Source organism: Homo sapiens, chromosome 6, assembly GCF_000001405.40.
Source record: "Homo sapiens chromosome 6, GRCh38.p14 Primary Assembly".
Classification (NCBI taxonomy): Eukaryota; Metazoa; Chordata; class Mammalia; order Primates; family Hominidae; genus Homo; species Homo sapiens.
Genome location: NC_000006.12, coordinates 26,402,253 through 26,419,841, shown reverse-complemented (window position 1 = coordinate 26,419,841; position 17,589 = coordinate 26,402,253). Strand labels below are relative to the sequence as shown.

General features: G+C 44.4%; 1 protein-coding gene across 16 annotated transcripts; it reads right to left on the bottom strand.

Moving 5' to 3' along the window:
* Nucleotides 1–4,633: 4,633 nt before the first annotated feature.
* BTN3A1 (butyrophilin subfamily 3 member A1) lies at nucleotides 4,634–17,567 on the bottom strand. 16 transcript variants are annotated; one of them, XM_047418124.1, is made up of 10 exons: nucleotides 17,430–17,567; nucleotides 14,194–15,707; nucleotides 13,586–13,933; nucleotides 11,890–12,171; nucleotides 10,109–10,309; nucleotides 9,928–9,948; nucleotides 9,810–9,836; nucleotides 8,707–8,733; nucleotides 8,261–8,287; nucleotides 4,634–7,137 (listed from the first exon to the last, which is right to left on the bottom strand). In XM_047418124.1, exons 2-10 carry the CDS (start codon nucleotides 14,276–14,278, stop codon nucleotides 7,097–7,099), a joined length of 1,059 nt encoding a protein of 352 aa, XP_047274080.1. In that variant the 5' UTR covers nucleotides 14,279–15,707; nucleotides 17,430–17,567; the 3' UTR covers nucleotides 4,634–7,096. The 16 variants fall into 16 exon arrangements, with proteins under 16 accessions (XP_047274080.1, XP_047274076.1, XP_047274085.1 ...); XM_047418120.1 differs by having other exon boundaries at nucleotides 4,634–6,673; XM_047418129.1 differs by having other exon boundaries at nucleotides 11,890–12,015.

Below are 17,589 nucleotides of genomic sequence, written 5' to 3'. Positions count from 1 at the left end.
TGAGGATAAAATCATAGGAAGTATTGGATCATTCCAGCCAAGCCTGGACTGTTCTTTGGAATAAACAGAAGTGGACACTGTAAGTATACAAAACTCAGGCTAAGATCTGGCTTCAGTTTTTTTATCTGAAGATATAATGTCCAGGGCTTCTGAAGCAGCTTGTGCCAGAAGTATCCAGCTAAGCCAGGTTTCACCCTCTGCCAAAGTTGACCTGAGCCATTCGGAAATATGTGTGTTCTAGGCAACAAGAGGGTTTATTGCTCATCAGGTAGCTTAGCAAGAAACCAGGTGATATGGTTTGGCATGGGGGCAATCATGGGAGCAGTTACCTCCATGCTGTTCTCATAATAGTGAGTTCTCAGGATATCTGATGATTTTATAAGGGACTTTCCCCCCTTTTGCTCAGCACTTCTTCTTCCTGCCATCATGTGAAGAAGGACGTGTTTGCTTCCACTTCTGCCATGATTGTAAGTTTCCTGAGGCCTTTCCAGCCATGGTACTGTGAGTTAATTACACCTCTTTCCTTTATACATTACCCAGTCCTTCATACTAGCATGAGAACAGACTAATACAGTATATTGGTACCAGTAGTGTGGGGTGCTGTTATGAGGATACCCGAAAATGTGGAAGTGACTTTGAAACTGGGTAACAGGCAGAGGTTGGAACAGTTTGGAGGGCTCAGAAGAAGACAGGAAAATGTGAGAAAGTTTGGAACTTCCTAGAGACTTGTTGAATGGCTTTAACCAAAATGCTGATAGTGATATGGACAATGAAGTCTAGGCTGAGGTAGTCTCAGATAGAGATGAGGAACTTGTTGGGAAATGGAGTAAAGGTCACTCTTGCTATGCACAAAAGACTGGTGGCATTTGTCCCTGCCCTAGAGTTCTGTGGAACTTTGAACTTCAGAGTGACGATTTGGGGTATCTGGCGAAAGAAATTTCTAAGTGGCAACTATTGTCAATATTCCCCTCAAATGTCTAAATGCTTCGCCTGGAAGCCTACAATTCCCTTTCACTTCAATCCAAAACCTTGCAAGTAATACACTAGCAATGGCTTCACAGTGATGGAGGAAGCAGAGCATAAAAGTTTGAAAAATTTGCAGCCTGATGATTTGATAAAAAAGAAAAATCCATTTTCTGAGGAGAAAGGCAAGCTGGCTGCAGAAATTTGCATAAGTAACAAGGAATCAAATGTTAATCACCAAGACTATGGGGAAAATGCCCCTAGGGCCTGTCAGAGGTTTTCCTGGTAGACCCTTCCATCACAGATCCAGAGGTCTGGGAGAAAAAATGGTTTCCTAGGCTGGGGCCAGGGTCCCCCAGTGCTCTGTGCAGCCTAGGGATTTGGTGCCCTCAGTTCCAGCTGATTCAGCTCCAGCTATGGCTAAGAGAGGCCAATGTATAGCTCAGACTGTTGCTTCTGAGGGTACGAGTGCCAAGCCTTGGTGGCTTTCACATAGTGTTGGGTCTGCAGGTACACAGAAGTCAAGAATTGAGGTTTGGGAACCTCTGCCAAGATTTCAGAGGATGTATGGAAACAGCTGGATGTCCAGGCAGAAGTTTGCTGCAGGAGCAGAGCCCTCATGGAGAACCTCTGCGAGGGCAGTTTGGAACAGAAATGTGGGGTTAGAGCCCCCACACAGAGGCCCCACTGGGGCACTGCCCAGTGGAGCTATGAAAAGAGGGCCATCATCCTCCAGATTCCAGAATGGTAATCCACTGACAGCTTGTACTTTGCACCTGGAAAAGCAGCAGACACTCAATGCCAGCCTGTGAAAGCAGCTGGGAGGGGGGCTGTATCCTGCAAAGCCATAGGGGTGGAGCTGCCTAAGGCCATGGGAGCCTACCTCTTACCTCAGTGTGACCTGGATGTGAGACATGGAGTCAAAAGAGATTATTTTGGGAATTTAAAGTTTAATGACTGTCCTATTGGATTTTGATCTTGTATGGGGCCCATAGCCCTTTTGTTTTGGCCAGTTTCTCCCATTTGGAATGGGTGTATTCACCCAATGCCTGCACCCACATTGTATCTAGGAAGTAACTAATCTGCTTTTGATTTTTCAGGTTCATAAGGGAAAGGGACTTACCTTACCTCAGATGAGACTTTGGACTTGGACTTTAGGTTAATGCTAGAATGAATTAAGATTTTGGGGGACTGTTGGAAAGGCATGATTGTGTTTTGAAATGTGAGGACATAAGACTTGGGAGGGGCCAGGGGCGGAATGATATGGTTTGGCTGTATCCCCACCCAAATCTCATCTGGAATGATAGTTCCCATAATTCCCACATGTCATGGGAGGGAACCAGTGTGAGGTGTCATGGGCTGGGAATCTTGGCAGTGTTTACCTCCTTGTTCTTCTTGTGATAGTGAGTTCTCACAAAATCTGATGGTTTTATAAGGGGCTTTTTCCTCTTTTGCTCAGCACTCACCCTTCCTGCCATCATGTGAAGAAGGACATGTTTGCTTCCCCTGTCACCATTATTGTAAGTTTCCTAAGGCCTCCCCAGCCAGGCAGAACTGTGAGTCAATTATATCTCTTTCCTTTATAAATTACCCAGTCTCCGGCAGTCATTCATAGCAGTGTGAAAACAGACTAATACACCAGGTTCTACTGGAGTGTGCCACATTAGATAGTGACAGCCTGACACAATCATTCCCTGTCATGGGAGGGATAAGCACAGAGGAAGCGTCACTTCAGCAAGGTTCTCTGTGGATCTGGTGTACATGGGACCCCTGGGAAAACCAGGACCCAGACTGAACACTGATCCCTTTTTGCTTTGCAAATGAGTTTCAATTTTTGACGGCAATTTGGGCATGTCTCTTTTTTTGAGTCACCTCTAGCTATGGAGTCCTTCCAGGGGAGGCCCAGACTTTTTGTTGAAGAGAAAAACCATTCCTACTTTGCCCCTTACATATTCCAGATTCCGACTCACAGAATCAATGAGCATAGTGCAATGGTTGTGCAAGTTGCTAATTTTCCATACTTCAACAATATTAGTCAATATATTTACCTTGTCTCAAGAGAACAAATTGCCCAGAACATGCTAGAATGATACTGGGACCTCAAGGGAAAAAAAGATGAGAAAATTGCCCAAACTGCTTCCATCTTCAAGTTTCCTCTCTGCACATGTTCTTTGGTGTTCTGTTTCTGCAGTTCAACTTCTTCTCCTCTTTTGGACCATAATGTGAGTGGAAGAGTTCTTCCCACAACTCCCATGCACACCTGCTACAGGTGTAGCTAGTCACATGTCACTTGAAGGTCCTCTGCCCTAGCCTGGGTCAGGTGTCCATCCCAGACCCAGTCCATGTGGTGAGGCTGCAGGGCCATGCTATACAGACATGTATTGGAACACAAGAGGTCACTAATGCTAAATGAATGTGGTGCAGGGAGGGCAGAGGGACCTTGAAAGGCATTGATTATATTCTCAGAAGCAGAGCCCTTAGAACAGATGCGGTTGATGCCCCATTCCATATTCTCTTGGCCTATTACAATTTGCCAATAGTGGAGGAACACAGTTTCCTTCAAGGATAACAATGTCTGACCTCAGTTATTTGTGTCTCTCCTCCTCCGCTTTCTCTAACACCAGTGATATTTGCTTTTTTTTCTGCAGATGCACAACCCAACCTTGAAGTACAGCAGAACTAACATTCCCAGGGGCAACCTTCAACCGATTTAAGCAAAAGAGGATGGGAGGTGTTGATAAATGTACAAGGGTCCCCAGCCCTTAGGAAGATTCTGACATATATTCCACAATTTCATATAGTTTCTTACAGTGTCCTGGGTGGGACAAGCCGAGTTGTCCATATGGTGACTCATTAATGACCTCTTTGTGCCATTCCTCACACAACTGGCTTTCCCCCTTCTGTGATTCACTATTTCTGCACTTGTGTTTCCTGGGATGATTTCCCAAATAAGTGGTAGCTTCAATAGTGCTCTTCCCTCCATACACACCTAGTGATGTTTACTGTGAAACATGTGACAATGATATATAACATGGCAAAATGGACCTTATAGAATTAAGGTTATGGACCTTAAAATTTAGTGATTATTCTAAATTATCTGGGTGGACTTAATCGAATCACAGGAGTTCTCAAAAGTAGAAGGCAGAAGAATCAGAGAGGTGCAATGGAAAAAGAACCAGAAAAACTTCAAAGATTGACAAGTCCTCAATGCATAATTGCTGCTTTGAAGACTGAAGAAGGGAGCTGCGAGCCAAAAAACAGCAGCCTCTAGGGATGGGAACAGCCTTCAGCTGTAAATCAGTAAGCAACTGGGACCTCTGTCTTGTAATTGCAAAAATTGAATTCTGCCAGCAATCTGAATAAACAAGAAAACATATTGCTCTCTAGAGCCTCCAGAAAAGAATCCAGCATGCAGACACATTGATCTTAGTCTGGTGAGATCCCTGTTGGACTTCTGACCTATAGAACTTTGAACCAAAAACTTGTGTTGCTTTAAGTCTAAGAATTTGTGCTAATTCATCATAGCAGCAGTAGAAAACACATACAATAAAGGTTTTGTGAAAACACTGCAATGAGGTAAACTGAAACTGTGGGGAGTACAGTGGGTGTGTGGACTATTCTACTGTGCCGAGTAGACTTATTAGAGTCTAGAAAAAGCCAAGTTGAAGAGTCAGCATTATTAACAAATTTATTGAACAACTAGAACTTGACAAGCACATGCCAGGTAGAGGGGATACAGTGGAGAGCAATAATAATGATGATAATGAGGAGTAGTTTTTCCCTAGCAGGCAGCAGTTGAAAGGAATATTGGTTTAACATCCACCAATGAGCAGGGGTGGATAGACCCCTCTCCTGGAGACAGAGTCCATAACGGGATTAAAAATATCCCTGTAAGCCGGTCACCCGGTGGCTCAAGCCTGTAATCCCAGCACTTTGGGAGACCGAGGTGGGTGGATCATGAGGTCAAGAGATCGAGACCATCCTGGCCAACATAGTGAACCCTCATCTGTACTAAAAGTACAAAAATTTGTTGGGTGTGGTGGCGTGCACCTATATTCCCAGTACTCGGGAGGCTGAGGCAGGAGAATTGTTTGAACCCAGGAGGTGGAGGTTGCAGGGAGCTGAGATCGCACCACTGCACTCCAGCCTAGCAACAGAGTAAGACTCCATCTTAAAAAAAAAAAAAAATCCCTGTATTTCTTCTAGCTCCCTTCATCCAAATTTCCTATATCACAGAGAATCTCTAGGGTATTTGCTCTGCCTGGAAACCTTGATTGAAGGAAGGCTGGCTCTGGCTGCATGATCACTTATCACATTTGTTGGGTGGAACACATCTGTTCCCCATGATTTATCAAGTGTGGCCTCTAGTCTCTTTCCAAATCACGTGTCATGTGGGTACGGTGAGGTTATTCTCTCAACCAAGACACTCTGCAGAGCTAATCCAAGGCGTGCTGGGTCTAAGGCTCTGACAATCAGCTGGGAAGGAGTCAACAGGGGTGTCAACTCCACAACCACCTACAGTGATCCTTATCCTGGAGCCATCCTGGGAAAAGAACCTCAGGGCTACAGGTGGGTTCTTCCTATGGGGGAAGAAACAGGGTGGAAAAGAACGGCCATAGGGCCGGGGACTGAAGCTGAACATCTCCCAACTGCAGAAATTACTGCATGAGTTATGTAAGTTGCTTAATGTTGCCCTGCCTCAACTTCCATACTTGCTAAATGAGACTACCCGACAGGGTGTTGCGAGGATTAAAGGAGTGACATCCACCAAAGCTCATAACACAGCACTCAGAGCATTTTAAGTTCTCCATTAATGTTAGTTATTGCTGTTTAGATCCCAGCTGTGTTGTTAACTAGTCATGTCTACTTTGTAGTCAATTCACTTTTCTGCACCCCAGTTTCCTTATCTGTATAAGGGGAAAATAAGATGGTACCAAACTCAAACAACTGTCATATGAATAATTGAATGAGTATCAGTAAAGTGCTTCAGTGCGTGCTTGTAGCTTTATGGTTGTGATTGGTTGCTGTGGAGGGGGAGGCCCTCAGCTCTGAGCTGGGCAGGGAGAAGCAGAGAAAAGTTACTTCAGCCTGAGGCTCCCCACTTTCGTTAGCTAAGCCCGGGGTTACTGGTGTCTCTAGGGAATGATCAGCACTCGGTCAGAATTGGAGGAACTCTCTTCTTCTTTTCACGCTGGACAAATAGTCAGGGCCGTGGGCTCCAAGGTCAAAATTCTGAAAACAGGATATAGAGCCTCAGAGAAGGAGACGTCCAGGAAAGTATGAATATGCGATCCATCCACAGCATTGTAGAATGAGATATCTCCAGTCTCATAGTCCAGGAAGACCCCCACTTTCTTAGGGGGCTTAGGAAGTTTCAGGTTGGTTCTGGGCTCAGTTAGAGTCCGATACTTATTCCCATCAGTCAGCCCCATAGTCCAGAATCCATTCTCAGGTGTCATTTTGACCCAGCCTTTTCTCTGCACATTCTTACTGCACACCCCTATATGCCACTCTTTCCTGTCCCCTACCTCCACCTCCCAGTAATGTCTCCCTGATATGAAGCTCTCACAGCCGAGAACACAATAATGCCAATTAAATCTCTCAGGGTTGTCTGGCAGATCCTGGGGCTCCTTGGCACGCTGCACACTCCTCTGGTCCTCAGAAACAAGGAGGATGGGGTTTGCTGTTTTTGGATCCAGAATCACATCCGCTGCAGAGAGTTTGAGGAAGTGTCCATGAGGTCAACCATTTTTCCTGGATTTCAGAGCCTCAGCATGCAAGGCCTGGGCCATGCTGAGGAGGTCTGAGTCCAAAGCCTGGTGTCCCTAGTCTGCCCTAAATGTGACTCTCTCATCGATGTCAGGAGAGAAAGCCCCAGGTATCAGGTATCTTGTGTCCAGAGGGGAAGAGGAGGGTGAAATGAGGGTTGCCTCAGCATCTCTGCCTAACCCAATACCCTGACGCGGCCTCAGGAAGCAGCAAGGATCCTTTCTACGTTTTTCTTGTTTCCCTCCCCATATTCACTCTGCCCACTAATGCTTTATACTCAGAGGTTAATTTTCAACCTTCATTCGACCACTCATGAGCTAAATGAGTTCCCCTTTTCTGCAGTCTATTTTTCCATACATCCAATTTATTTAACAAAGTGGAGCCTCATCTGAAGCATTTCCTCACCTGAAAAATGGGGATAAACAAATGAATCTCTAGCGCTGTAGAAGGCAATCATGTTATTTACTCAGCCCACAGCAGGCCATGAAGGAAGCTCCTCATCTTCCTGATAGCTGCAAGGCCGTCTCTGTGCTGGGCTCTATGTGGTGCCTTATATGCCCTAGATTCACTCTCCACCCTTCAGCTTTCTCCACCCTCTTCTGGGCCCCAGGAATCTGTCCTCTGGGCAGATTCCTGAGACAGTGCCACTGGGCTCCCTTGTCCTCTGGTTTGCTGTTGGGTTTGGCCAATGGGAGGCCCTGATAGGAGATTGGAAGGAGAAAGAAAGGAGAGACACACCGTTTAATTTCCTGCTTCCTCCCTGCCAGCAGCAGCTGCTGCTGCTCTAACAAGGCCTGAAGACTCTTCTCAGGGAGCCCTCTCTTTGAGCTACTTCTTATTCTGGGTTCCAGTAACTGCCTCCCCTCCCTAGCCGTCCCAGTGTAGGAGTGGAGACAGCTCCCCACTGTTGGGAACCATGGGGGCACTGCACTTTTCCTTGTTGCTTTCCCTTAACCCTCCTTTCTGCAAACCTTCAACCACGCAGTTTGAACTCATCATCTCCTTCTTAAGGTTTTTGACCAATGGATATTTATTATTCCTTCAGTCTTCACCTCAACCCCCACAAACACAGATTGAAATCATCACCTAAATATGTGGAGGCCAAAGCTCAGAAGCATTAAGTTTTTTTGAGAAGGCACTGACAGTAGGTGGCATGAGAAGTCTGGGAAGGACTAAGTTCTTTGGGCAGGCATCGCCTCCTTTCCTTGGCATTTCCATCCTCACTCTCCCTGCAGTATTACTCAGTGTGTGTCTCCTTCCCCTCAGATCCACCCTTTATATGTCTTCCTTCCCAGGAAGGTCTGAGGAAGTGCAAGAGATCTATTCGCCCTGGTTCCCTGGGCTCTCAGCAGAAAGGGTCTTGGAGATGGGCCCACTTTTCAGATTGGAATTTAATGTTGCCTACCCCAAATTCTCCTAGTCATGGGAGCTTTTCTTCCCCAAATCACAACAGTTGGAGAAGTAAAAAGGAAAAAGGAATATAGTCCCTCAGGTTGTTGGTCCAGGGAACACACAGTGATTTACTCACCAGGCTTGAAGAGGGCCTTTTTCCATTCTGAAAGGAAGGAGACACAGATAAGGAAAAGGTCAGTATTCTTGTACTTTTCCCCACTGCACTCTCCCCTCACTACATGTTTTCTCTCCTTTTCTTCAGAGTCTCTTCCAGGGTCCAGCCTCCCTCTTCTACAGCTCTGATGGATCAGGGGTGGTACCTTCTCAAAAATGGTGAGCTCTGTTCCCTCTGCAATGAAGGGTACAGGCTGCAAGGCCAGGCTTTGCAAGGGGGTGTGCAGGGTCAGGAGTCTCTCTGATTCTCCAGAAAAGCAGAAATCAACCCCCCACAACACACAAATTGAGTCTTTGGGTTAAATCTGATTCATGCAAATGAGAACATCAATGGGTCACAGCAGAGAAAAGGTTGAAATGTTCATGGCACGTGTCCCAGCAAACTCAGAGAGCATCAGGTTCACTCACCATTATAGGCTGAATGTCTCTCTCCCCCTACAATGAAAAAAAGATAGAGATGTCACCTGAACTTGCCATTTTTGATTTGGCCCCATTCCCTTAACTTTACATCCATCTAATCTTTTTTTTTTTTTTTTTTTTTTTACCACCTGTATCTTCCTCCTCTGCAGGTTCAATTCTTTCTATTGTGTTGTTCTTAGTATCAAATCCAGGAACATCAGTCGAATGCTAGTGACATGGCAGACATTGCGAGAGTTCCTTCCTGATGGTGTTCAGCTGATCTATTTGGAATGTATCTATATACCTGTACCTGGGCATAGGTGTCTCCATGTCTATATGCACATATATATATACACATATATATATACATATATATGCACATATATATGTGTATATATGTATATATGTGTATATATATATTTAAATGTGTGTATGTGTGTGTGTGTGTTTGCAAGATCCTTCTATATCAATCTAATTTCGTACCTTACTCTGAAAAGAATTTGGGAAATTTAATGAGCAATTTCAGGGACTAGTGTTTGAAGTCAGTTAGAATAAATTGGTACCAACTGAGCGACTGTTCAGGCCACTTTTGTTTATTAGACACACTTTTCTCCCTCTCTCTTTTCAGATTTTCTTGTTCTTTATTATCTTTTATTCTTTTTCTTCTCTGGAGCCTATAGATTATGTAAAATGACTAGTGAAGTTCCTGCCATAGAGAATGCACTTCATCTACCTCTTCCCCCTTCCTTTACAAATGTGCCCCTGGATATTCCTCAGTGCTTTGCAGGGCTATAGAGTCTGTGGCCCCTGGTAGAGATAAATTGAAGGCATCTTTTCTTCGAGACCAGCTGAGAAAGAGAAAGAGAGGGAGAAAGAAACACTCCTCCTGGGTGTTACTCCAATCAGCCACACTCTTTCTTTTTTCCTTTCTTCTCTTTCCTTTTTTTTTTTTTCTTTTTGGCAATGACTAGGAATTGGCACATCTATTTTCTTTCCTTAGTCAAAGGGATCTAAGACCACTTCCCAACCTTGGGGAAAGAGTTAAGAGTGGAAACTATTCAAGCACAGACAGTTATAGATTCAAATTCAGAGAAAATGTCAGAGGCACTTACGAGATGCATACTGGATACTTCTCCATCCTGCAACGGAAGGAACAGGGGAAGATGCATCAAGGCGCATAAAGCAGGGACAGGAAGACATGCCTGGGTCTCTGGGGGAATGGGAACTTACTGAGTTCCTCCAGGAGCTTCACTGGAAAATAAGCAGAAATAATAATGAACTGTTACAGGTGAGGGGGTTTTCTAAAAAATTAACCTTAAAAGCAACTGAGCTCTGCGGTGGGGATGGGCGTGAGGTCTTTGGGCTTTGGCCCGTAAGCCAGGGGCTCAGATAAACTCCCAAGGTCAGCTACCTCTTGTGCTTTGTTCTTGCTTCATTGTGCTCCATGCCATTTCTCTCAACTCTTGCTCTCTCTTTTTCTTTCTGAACTGAGTCTTTTTTTCCTCCTGCTGTTGCCACAGGAAGTAACCGGCTCCCCCAAGAAGCAGCAGCAAGACAGGCAGGGTCCCTGCCAGGGCGGCGATCCACCTCTGGGCGCTCCTGAAGAAGGGGTCTGTGAAGGCAACGGCTGTGGGTCATGGGGGCCGGTGCACTCAGCCTCCCCAGACTGCAGCGCCCCAAGTGTTAGCTGCTCACCCCAGGTCACAGGGCACGGAATCTATCTCATGAGGTTAAATAATCTTTCTCATGCTAAAATCTCAGAGGACAGTGGGTAAGACTTTGATAAACCCCCACTAGAGGCTGCTACTATTACTTCTCTTGAGACGTCTGCCTCTCATGTGGAAAGTGAGTGACTTGAGGATATCAAACATATTTTTTTCTAATTCAACTTTTTAATAGGTAACACATGTACATGGTTCTAAAATACATGTATAAAAAGTCACGTAAGTCTCCCATCCACCCAGTCCTCCCTCCCACCCTCCCTTTCTTAACTTCAAATTAGTCTGCTTAATATGATGCTTAAGAACAGGAACTTTGGAGCTGGAGGCCCTGGGTGTCAATGCTGGCTCCTTTAGGTGACTTGCAGTGTGACTTTAGACTAATTACTTAACCTCTCTGTTCCTACTGCCCTTCTCCTGAAGTTAGAAGGATTAAATTAATACTTATAAAGTGCCTGACACCTAGTGAGTGTTATGACATTACTTGTTAACTTAAAAAAATGTAAATAAAAATATATTCTTGTTTTTCCTCTTATTTGCACTAAAGATAGCATTCCATACACACCACTCTGCATTTTGCTCTTTCTGTGCAAAGTTAATCTTGGAGGTTTTTCCACTTCACTATAGAGAGAATTATCTCTTTTTTCTTTCACAGTTGAGTGGTATCCATTGCATGAAAGTTCTCCAGCAGTGAACATCTGCATAGTTTCCAACCTTGTGCAGTCATAATCAGTGCTATAAAAAATAACTTTTTACATGGATCATCTCATACAAATGCAAGCTTATCTACCAAATAAATTCCCAGAAGCGGAATTTTGGATCACTAAAGATGTAGTTTGGATAGATATTGTTATATAGCCCCCAACAGAGGTTGTGCTAATGCACACCAAAAATACAAGTCATCCCAGCAGATGCCTAGGAGTCACAGCCTTCCTACATTCCTGCCATAACCATGTGTTATCAACCAACAGATGTTTGTTTTGATTTTTGCCAATACCATAAGTGAAAAATGATTCAGTATGTTTCTCTAATGAATGAGAACGAACACTCTTTTGTGAGTTATTTCCTTTTCTGTAAATTAAATAATTTATGACCTTTGTTAAAATTTTTTACTCAGTTTTTAAAATCTTCTGTCTCAAGGAGATTGGCTCTTTCTCTATGAGTTTGTATATATATATATATGCTTTCCCCTTTTGTCATTTGACTTTACATACGCAGCTTATCTTAACAATTATCCCCTAATTCCAATTACTGTTATACTTCTGGCAGACAGGAAATGTTCAGTAAATGTTTGCGTCATGAACAGCTTTATGGAGAAGAGAAGCTCCCCCGGTGCAAGGAGGAGCCTCCAGGTCTGTGCTTTGGGCCTTATATTCAGTGCAGAGACCCAGGTTGACTGCAGACACTAACACCTCCCCCTTCATTCAACTGCCACAGCCCAGCTCAGAAAACCTGAGGCCAAGCAGGTACTGACCTGCGATGGAAATGCTGGCTGTCTTTTCCAGGCCGAGGAGGGAACTTCTGATGGTACAGGATACACCCTCCCCAGAGCTGCCTCTCATGATCACAGATGCTGCTACTGCATACAGGCCCACTCCGTCTGCAACCACAGGTGCTTCCACAGTCGGGATGTTCTCTCCCTTGTTGTTGCTCCACTGTATTTGGGGTTGGGGGTACCAGCCAGTGGACCTGCACTCCAGATGGATCCCTCCATCCTTGTAACCCTTCACATCAACGTGAAGATCAGAACCCAGTGCTGTGGAAGGATGAATTAGCCTAAATTCTTGAGAGGCCTGTATCAGAGAGGGTCTCAAAAGGAATCATGGCACACTCACATTCCATAATTCAAGAACAATTTCATTTTAGAGCTGCTTACAAAAGTGTGGTCCTAGTGAGGAGAAAGCTACATGAATGAGTGCAGTATCCCAGGGTCAGTAACAGTGGGGCTATTCCCACCCACCACAGTTACCAGAGGGAGGAGGAGAGGGAGCTGTTTTGAAGACACAAAAGAAGAGATTTATGCATTAAGGACTTTCTTGAGAGGGGCAATGACCTTCAGCAAGGCAATGCAGCCAGCCTGAGGGTAACTTGCAGGAAGGAAGCCAGGGACTAAGCACCCAGATCTCTCTTTTCTCTCCCTCCCTTCATCGTCTGCTACAGATCCCTGCTGACCAAACCCTTAAACAGAAGCCACAGGGAAAAGCATTGCACTAAGAAAGAAAAGAGCAGTCCCTTTATCTGGAAGCAGCAACAGGACTCAGTGTCCTCCTGTTGAACAAAAGCAATTTCACAGAACACCAGCATCAGATGATGGCACTTTGTGACTATGATGGATCATGGGAAAAACAAGACCACCCCACATCATGTGTGAGCACAGAGAAAAACATGAACATTGTCCAAACCACAGCAGTGACCAAACAACCCCCATCAGCAATGAGGGATTGCTGTCCCTTCATCAATTACAGCTTTAGTCTCACCCTGGTCTCTTTCTTCCTAGATAAGATTGATTAAGGTTCTCACTCATAGAATTAACCTGCCCACACCTTCCTAGCAGTGTCTCATCCAGAGCAGAGGCCAAAGTCTATAAACCCTCCTCCCAAATCCCCTAACACAAGCCCAAATTATATACTAAGTCTGCTCTAACAGCTTCTTACTGAGACTCCACCACAGCTCCCCATGATATGTGTTCTTCCTCACTGCAACAAGTAAGAAACACAGCTCCCATGACTACAGGTGTATTCTAGGGTCATTGGCTCAAGAACATTGGCAGCAGATACAGTCCAGATAGCCCAGTCTTCTAGGGCCCACAATAGCATGTACCTAGTGGAGCCACAGAAGCCATCCAGTACAGAACTAAACACGAATGACTGTGTACTAGTCACTGAAGAGATGATTTCTTATGCTTTCTATCCCTTGTCCTTCACTTCCCTTATATCTCTGGTGGCCAGAGGAAAGGAGTTCTTTACTTGAGCATGTAGGGTACAGCAGGAATTCTTCCTAAAGGAAAACCTGTGTCTTACTCAAGGGCCTCAGAGAAGCTAAGTTGGGAGGCAGTGCAGGCAATTGCTAGTGAGCAGCCAGGAGTGTCTGCAGTGCTTTTGCAAGAGGGACTCTGCATCTGCTCTAGATCCTACAGAGAAATGTTCTCAGAACAAAACCTGGAGGCTCACCTGCAACCTTCAGCTCCACCAGGGCTTTTTCATAGAAGTCACCATCTTGGAAATAACACAAGTACTTTCCACTGTCAGAGGCTGTGACGTTGTGTATTCGGAGAGCAGCCTTCCCTGCAGTGATGCCATCCCGCAGAATCGAAGTTCTCCCTCGATACGGTGCACTCTGCCTGTCTTCCACTTCCTTTCCATCTGCATACACGTTCACCACCTGCCTTAGGCTGGAACTCACCCACTTCAGCTCCATGGTCTCTGCACTCATGGTCGGGAACAGGTGACAGGGCAGATCAGCGTCTTCACCCACCATGGCCAGGATGGGCCCAGAGGGTCCAAGCACAGAAAACTGAGCTGTAGGCACAAGGGGGAGGATCTGTCAGAGGGTTTTGGAGTTGGGGTCATGAGAGGAAGGGTGCTTCTCAGACAGGGAAGGCGAGATACAAAGAAACTGGTGGGGGAAACTGATCTTAACAGAAGCACCATTTGTCTCTTAGTGACGGGTGAACCTTCAGATCGGGATGGACTTCAGGTTTGGGAAGGAGTCAAAAGTCCTATGAGGACATAATTAGGTAATTGTCTGCTTCAGAAACAAGCGTGGAATTGTTCCCTACCTGAGTGAGGCATGAGCAGCTGAAGCAAAAGGAGGCAGACACGAAAGTTGAGCAGAAGGAAGGCCAGGAAACTTGCCATTTTCATTCATGCTGCATATCAGGAGATACTGGAAGGTGGGGGGCAGACACTATGACCTGGAAGAAGCTATAGAATTCCAAATGGAAACCTCCACTTCCCTAGAGCTAACTCAAGTATGGTGACCGAAGAAGATCTTTCCTCTGCCAAAAATTCTGTCCTTCAGTGTCTTCACCTTTGAGTCCCAACATTGAAAATCACCTGTAAAAACATGTCTATGTGAAATGCACATCTGTTATTCGATCAGAAAATCCTCACTGTACTGTTTAACAATATTCAGAATCCTATGACTTCCCCAAACTTCCCCTGCCAAGTCCAACCCACCACAATCCCCCTCTGATTCATGCAGGACACTCTTCACTGGGCTCCCTGGTTCCACCGGGGTCGACCGCTGTGGGTGTCCCACACTGTGGACTCCTCAAAGCCCCAACTCTTGGCCATCACCATGGTCAACTCATGGCCTAGTGGACTCCTGGTAGGATTAAGGAAGACTGCTTGGTGGGGGACCTGAAGTCAGTCAGGGGCTGAACCCACCACATTTAATCCAAGGCTAGTGATCACAGAGCTGCAAATAAGACCAGGCCTTACTTACCTTTTCTTTCTTCCCTTCATAAAGTCATTCAACAAATATTTACCAAGCACCCACAAGGGGCCAGGCCCATGATATAAGGGTTAGGGACACAAAGAGGGTAAGCAATAAGTAAAGGCTCTAAGATTCACAAGCTCTTTGGTCTCAGACATGGGACAAAACCATTGCAACTTTATTTACTTATACAATATCATGAAGTGTGAAATTTAGAATTGCACAGTTGGCCCAGCAGTTCCACTTCCTGATGTCAAGTCGAGCAAAGTACTTGCATGGGTGCAGACAGAAGCCTCTGTGAGAATGACACTGCAGCACTATTTTTAAAGTATAAAAATGGTAACCAACTGAACCAGCCACCCATCAGGAGACTGCTTAGAGGAATGACGGCTCATCCCTCGGAGGGAATTCAATGCAGCAGGTAAAAAGAGTTGATTTGTTGTCATGAACCTAGATAACGGAGACACACTAAGTGATCAAAAAACACCTTGCACAACTATACTAAAGATTCAATTGAAGAACAGAAGCAAAGCTATCCATTTCTGCATAACTATTTATGTAAATGCCTGAAAAACTCAAAAAAGACGCATGCTAATCTGAAGATCAGAGGTTAGTGAGTGAAGGGACACTTGGCCTTTTGTTCCCTTTACTTTTAAAATATTGGAATGCTTTAAATTTAAAACTTTTCGTGTATTACTTAACAATAATTATTATGAGTTACAATAGTGACGGGAACATATTAGCTGCTCAGTAAATACTAACTCCTCAACAGTTTCTTCCAAAACAAAGGAGCATGAGGCCTGCAGCCATAATCCCTCTTGCTGTGGGTCTGGGAATGGCCTCTGAGAACAAGATCTGCAGAGGGAGGTGGGGAGGGATGTAAAGGAAACAAGAGAACAGAGATCTGTGCAGCCGGCCATGCTTCACCCCTGCCTGGATCTTGCACCCACCCAGAGTAAACAATGCATTTCACCACATCTTTTGCTCCTCGAAACTGCTCTTTATGTTGCTATAGAGGGGGTATCATTTTTATTATCATTTTCCCTGAGTTAACAATTTCTCTGCTGTCCTTAGAATGAGACATAAGTTTTTCTTCTTCATAAAGGATATATTTTTTTTCCTGATTATAGTCAATATTGCAAATGAAAAAAAGCATAAAGGAATACAAGTTTAAGTAGTGGTTCATGCCTGTAATCCTTGCAATTTGGGAAGTTGAGATGGGAGGATCCCTGGAGCCCAGGAATTCAAGACCAGCCTGGTCAACATAATGAAACCCCATCTCTACAAATCAATCAATAAATAAAATAAAATATCTATAGTAGTAGTCATATACTTTGGTAGTGAAAAGGTAAATATTTCTGGAAGTATTTTGACCATATATATATAAAGGGCCTTAAAAAAAGTTATATGCTTTGCTAAGGAATGGCTATTAAAAGAAAAAAAAAAGGTGTGTGCTTTGACCCAAATGTTCCACTTGTAGGAATTAGTGTTGCAGAAAAAAGAAAATCAGGAACTAAGACAAAAATTTATGTTTTAGGCTGCTCAATACAGTAAAATCTACAATAGCCAAATGCAGAAAAGAGAAATAGTCCAAACTAGGGAAGTGTTTAAAAATAATTTTAAAGGCTGGGTGTGGTGGCTCACGCCTGTAATCCCAGCTCTTTGGGAGGCTGAGGTGGGCAGATCACCTGAGGTCAGGAGTTTGAGACCAGCCTAGACAATATGGCGAAACTCCGAATCTACTAAAAATACAAAAACTAGCTGGGTGTGGTGGCGTGCACCTGTAATCTCAGCTACCCAGGAGACTGAGGCAGGAGAATCACTGGAACCCAGGAAGCAGAGGCTGCAGTAAGCCGAGAACATGCCACTGCACTCCAGCCTGGGTGATAGAGCAAGACTGCATCTCAAAACAAACAAAAAAATTGTATATTCATACAATGAAATAGATTGTATCCATTGGATAGCATTCGTTAGGTTTGGGGGAAATGATGAATAAAAGGAAAAACACATACTGTTCCTAAAAGATTTTAAAACAAGGTTTAATGTATGGATCTAACATTGCTAAAATTATAAATAATTGCCCTTCATTAAAAACACGATTCCTAAAGGCTGCATGGAAATCTCTTTTATGATTGAACCATGCATTGTTTGTCTATCCCCCGCCTGTTGTATATGTATGCTGGTTCAGGTTTTTCTACATTTTTAATACTTCTGTAATGAACAAATTTACATATGAATCTATAAAGGACACCTCTTTTTAGAATCTCTTAGAATAGATGCCTTGAGTTGTCCAGAACAGATTTTAAAGATTGTTTGCCCTTTTCTGACTACAATACGTTCTTAAGAACATGCAATTAGACTATTTCTTCACCAAATCCCAAACTCTGCAGGTCTTTATTCTTTGCACTACTTCTCCCCTTTCCATGTGTCCACATGTGTGCGTGCGCACCCCCTCAGGCACACACCCCTTTCTCTGGGTGAGTACTCTCCCTGCATGCCCACTCACCACTCTCAGCGATTCAGCCCCTGTCCTCCCAGGCATTGTGAACCAGGCTCTAATCGACTTCCCCCACTCACCTCTTAGCATTCCCCTCTGAAAATCACAGCCCACAGAAGAAAGGCAGTTAATAGTTCTCCATTCTTTCTACTATGGTTAAATCTCCTTCTGGAAGAAAGGAAAAAGAAAGCAGAGACTGTCGGGTCATCGTGAGGAATAATAACAATCTCTCTTTGGAAG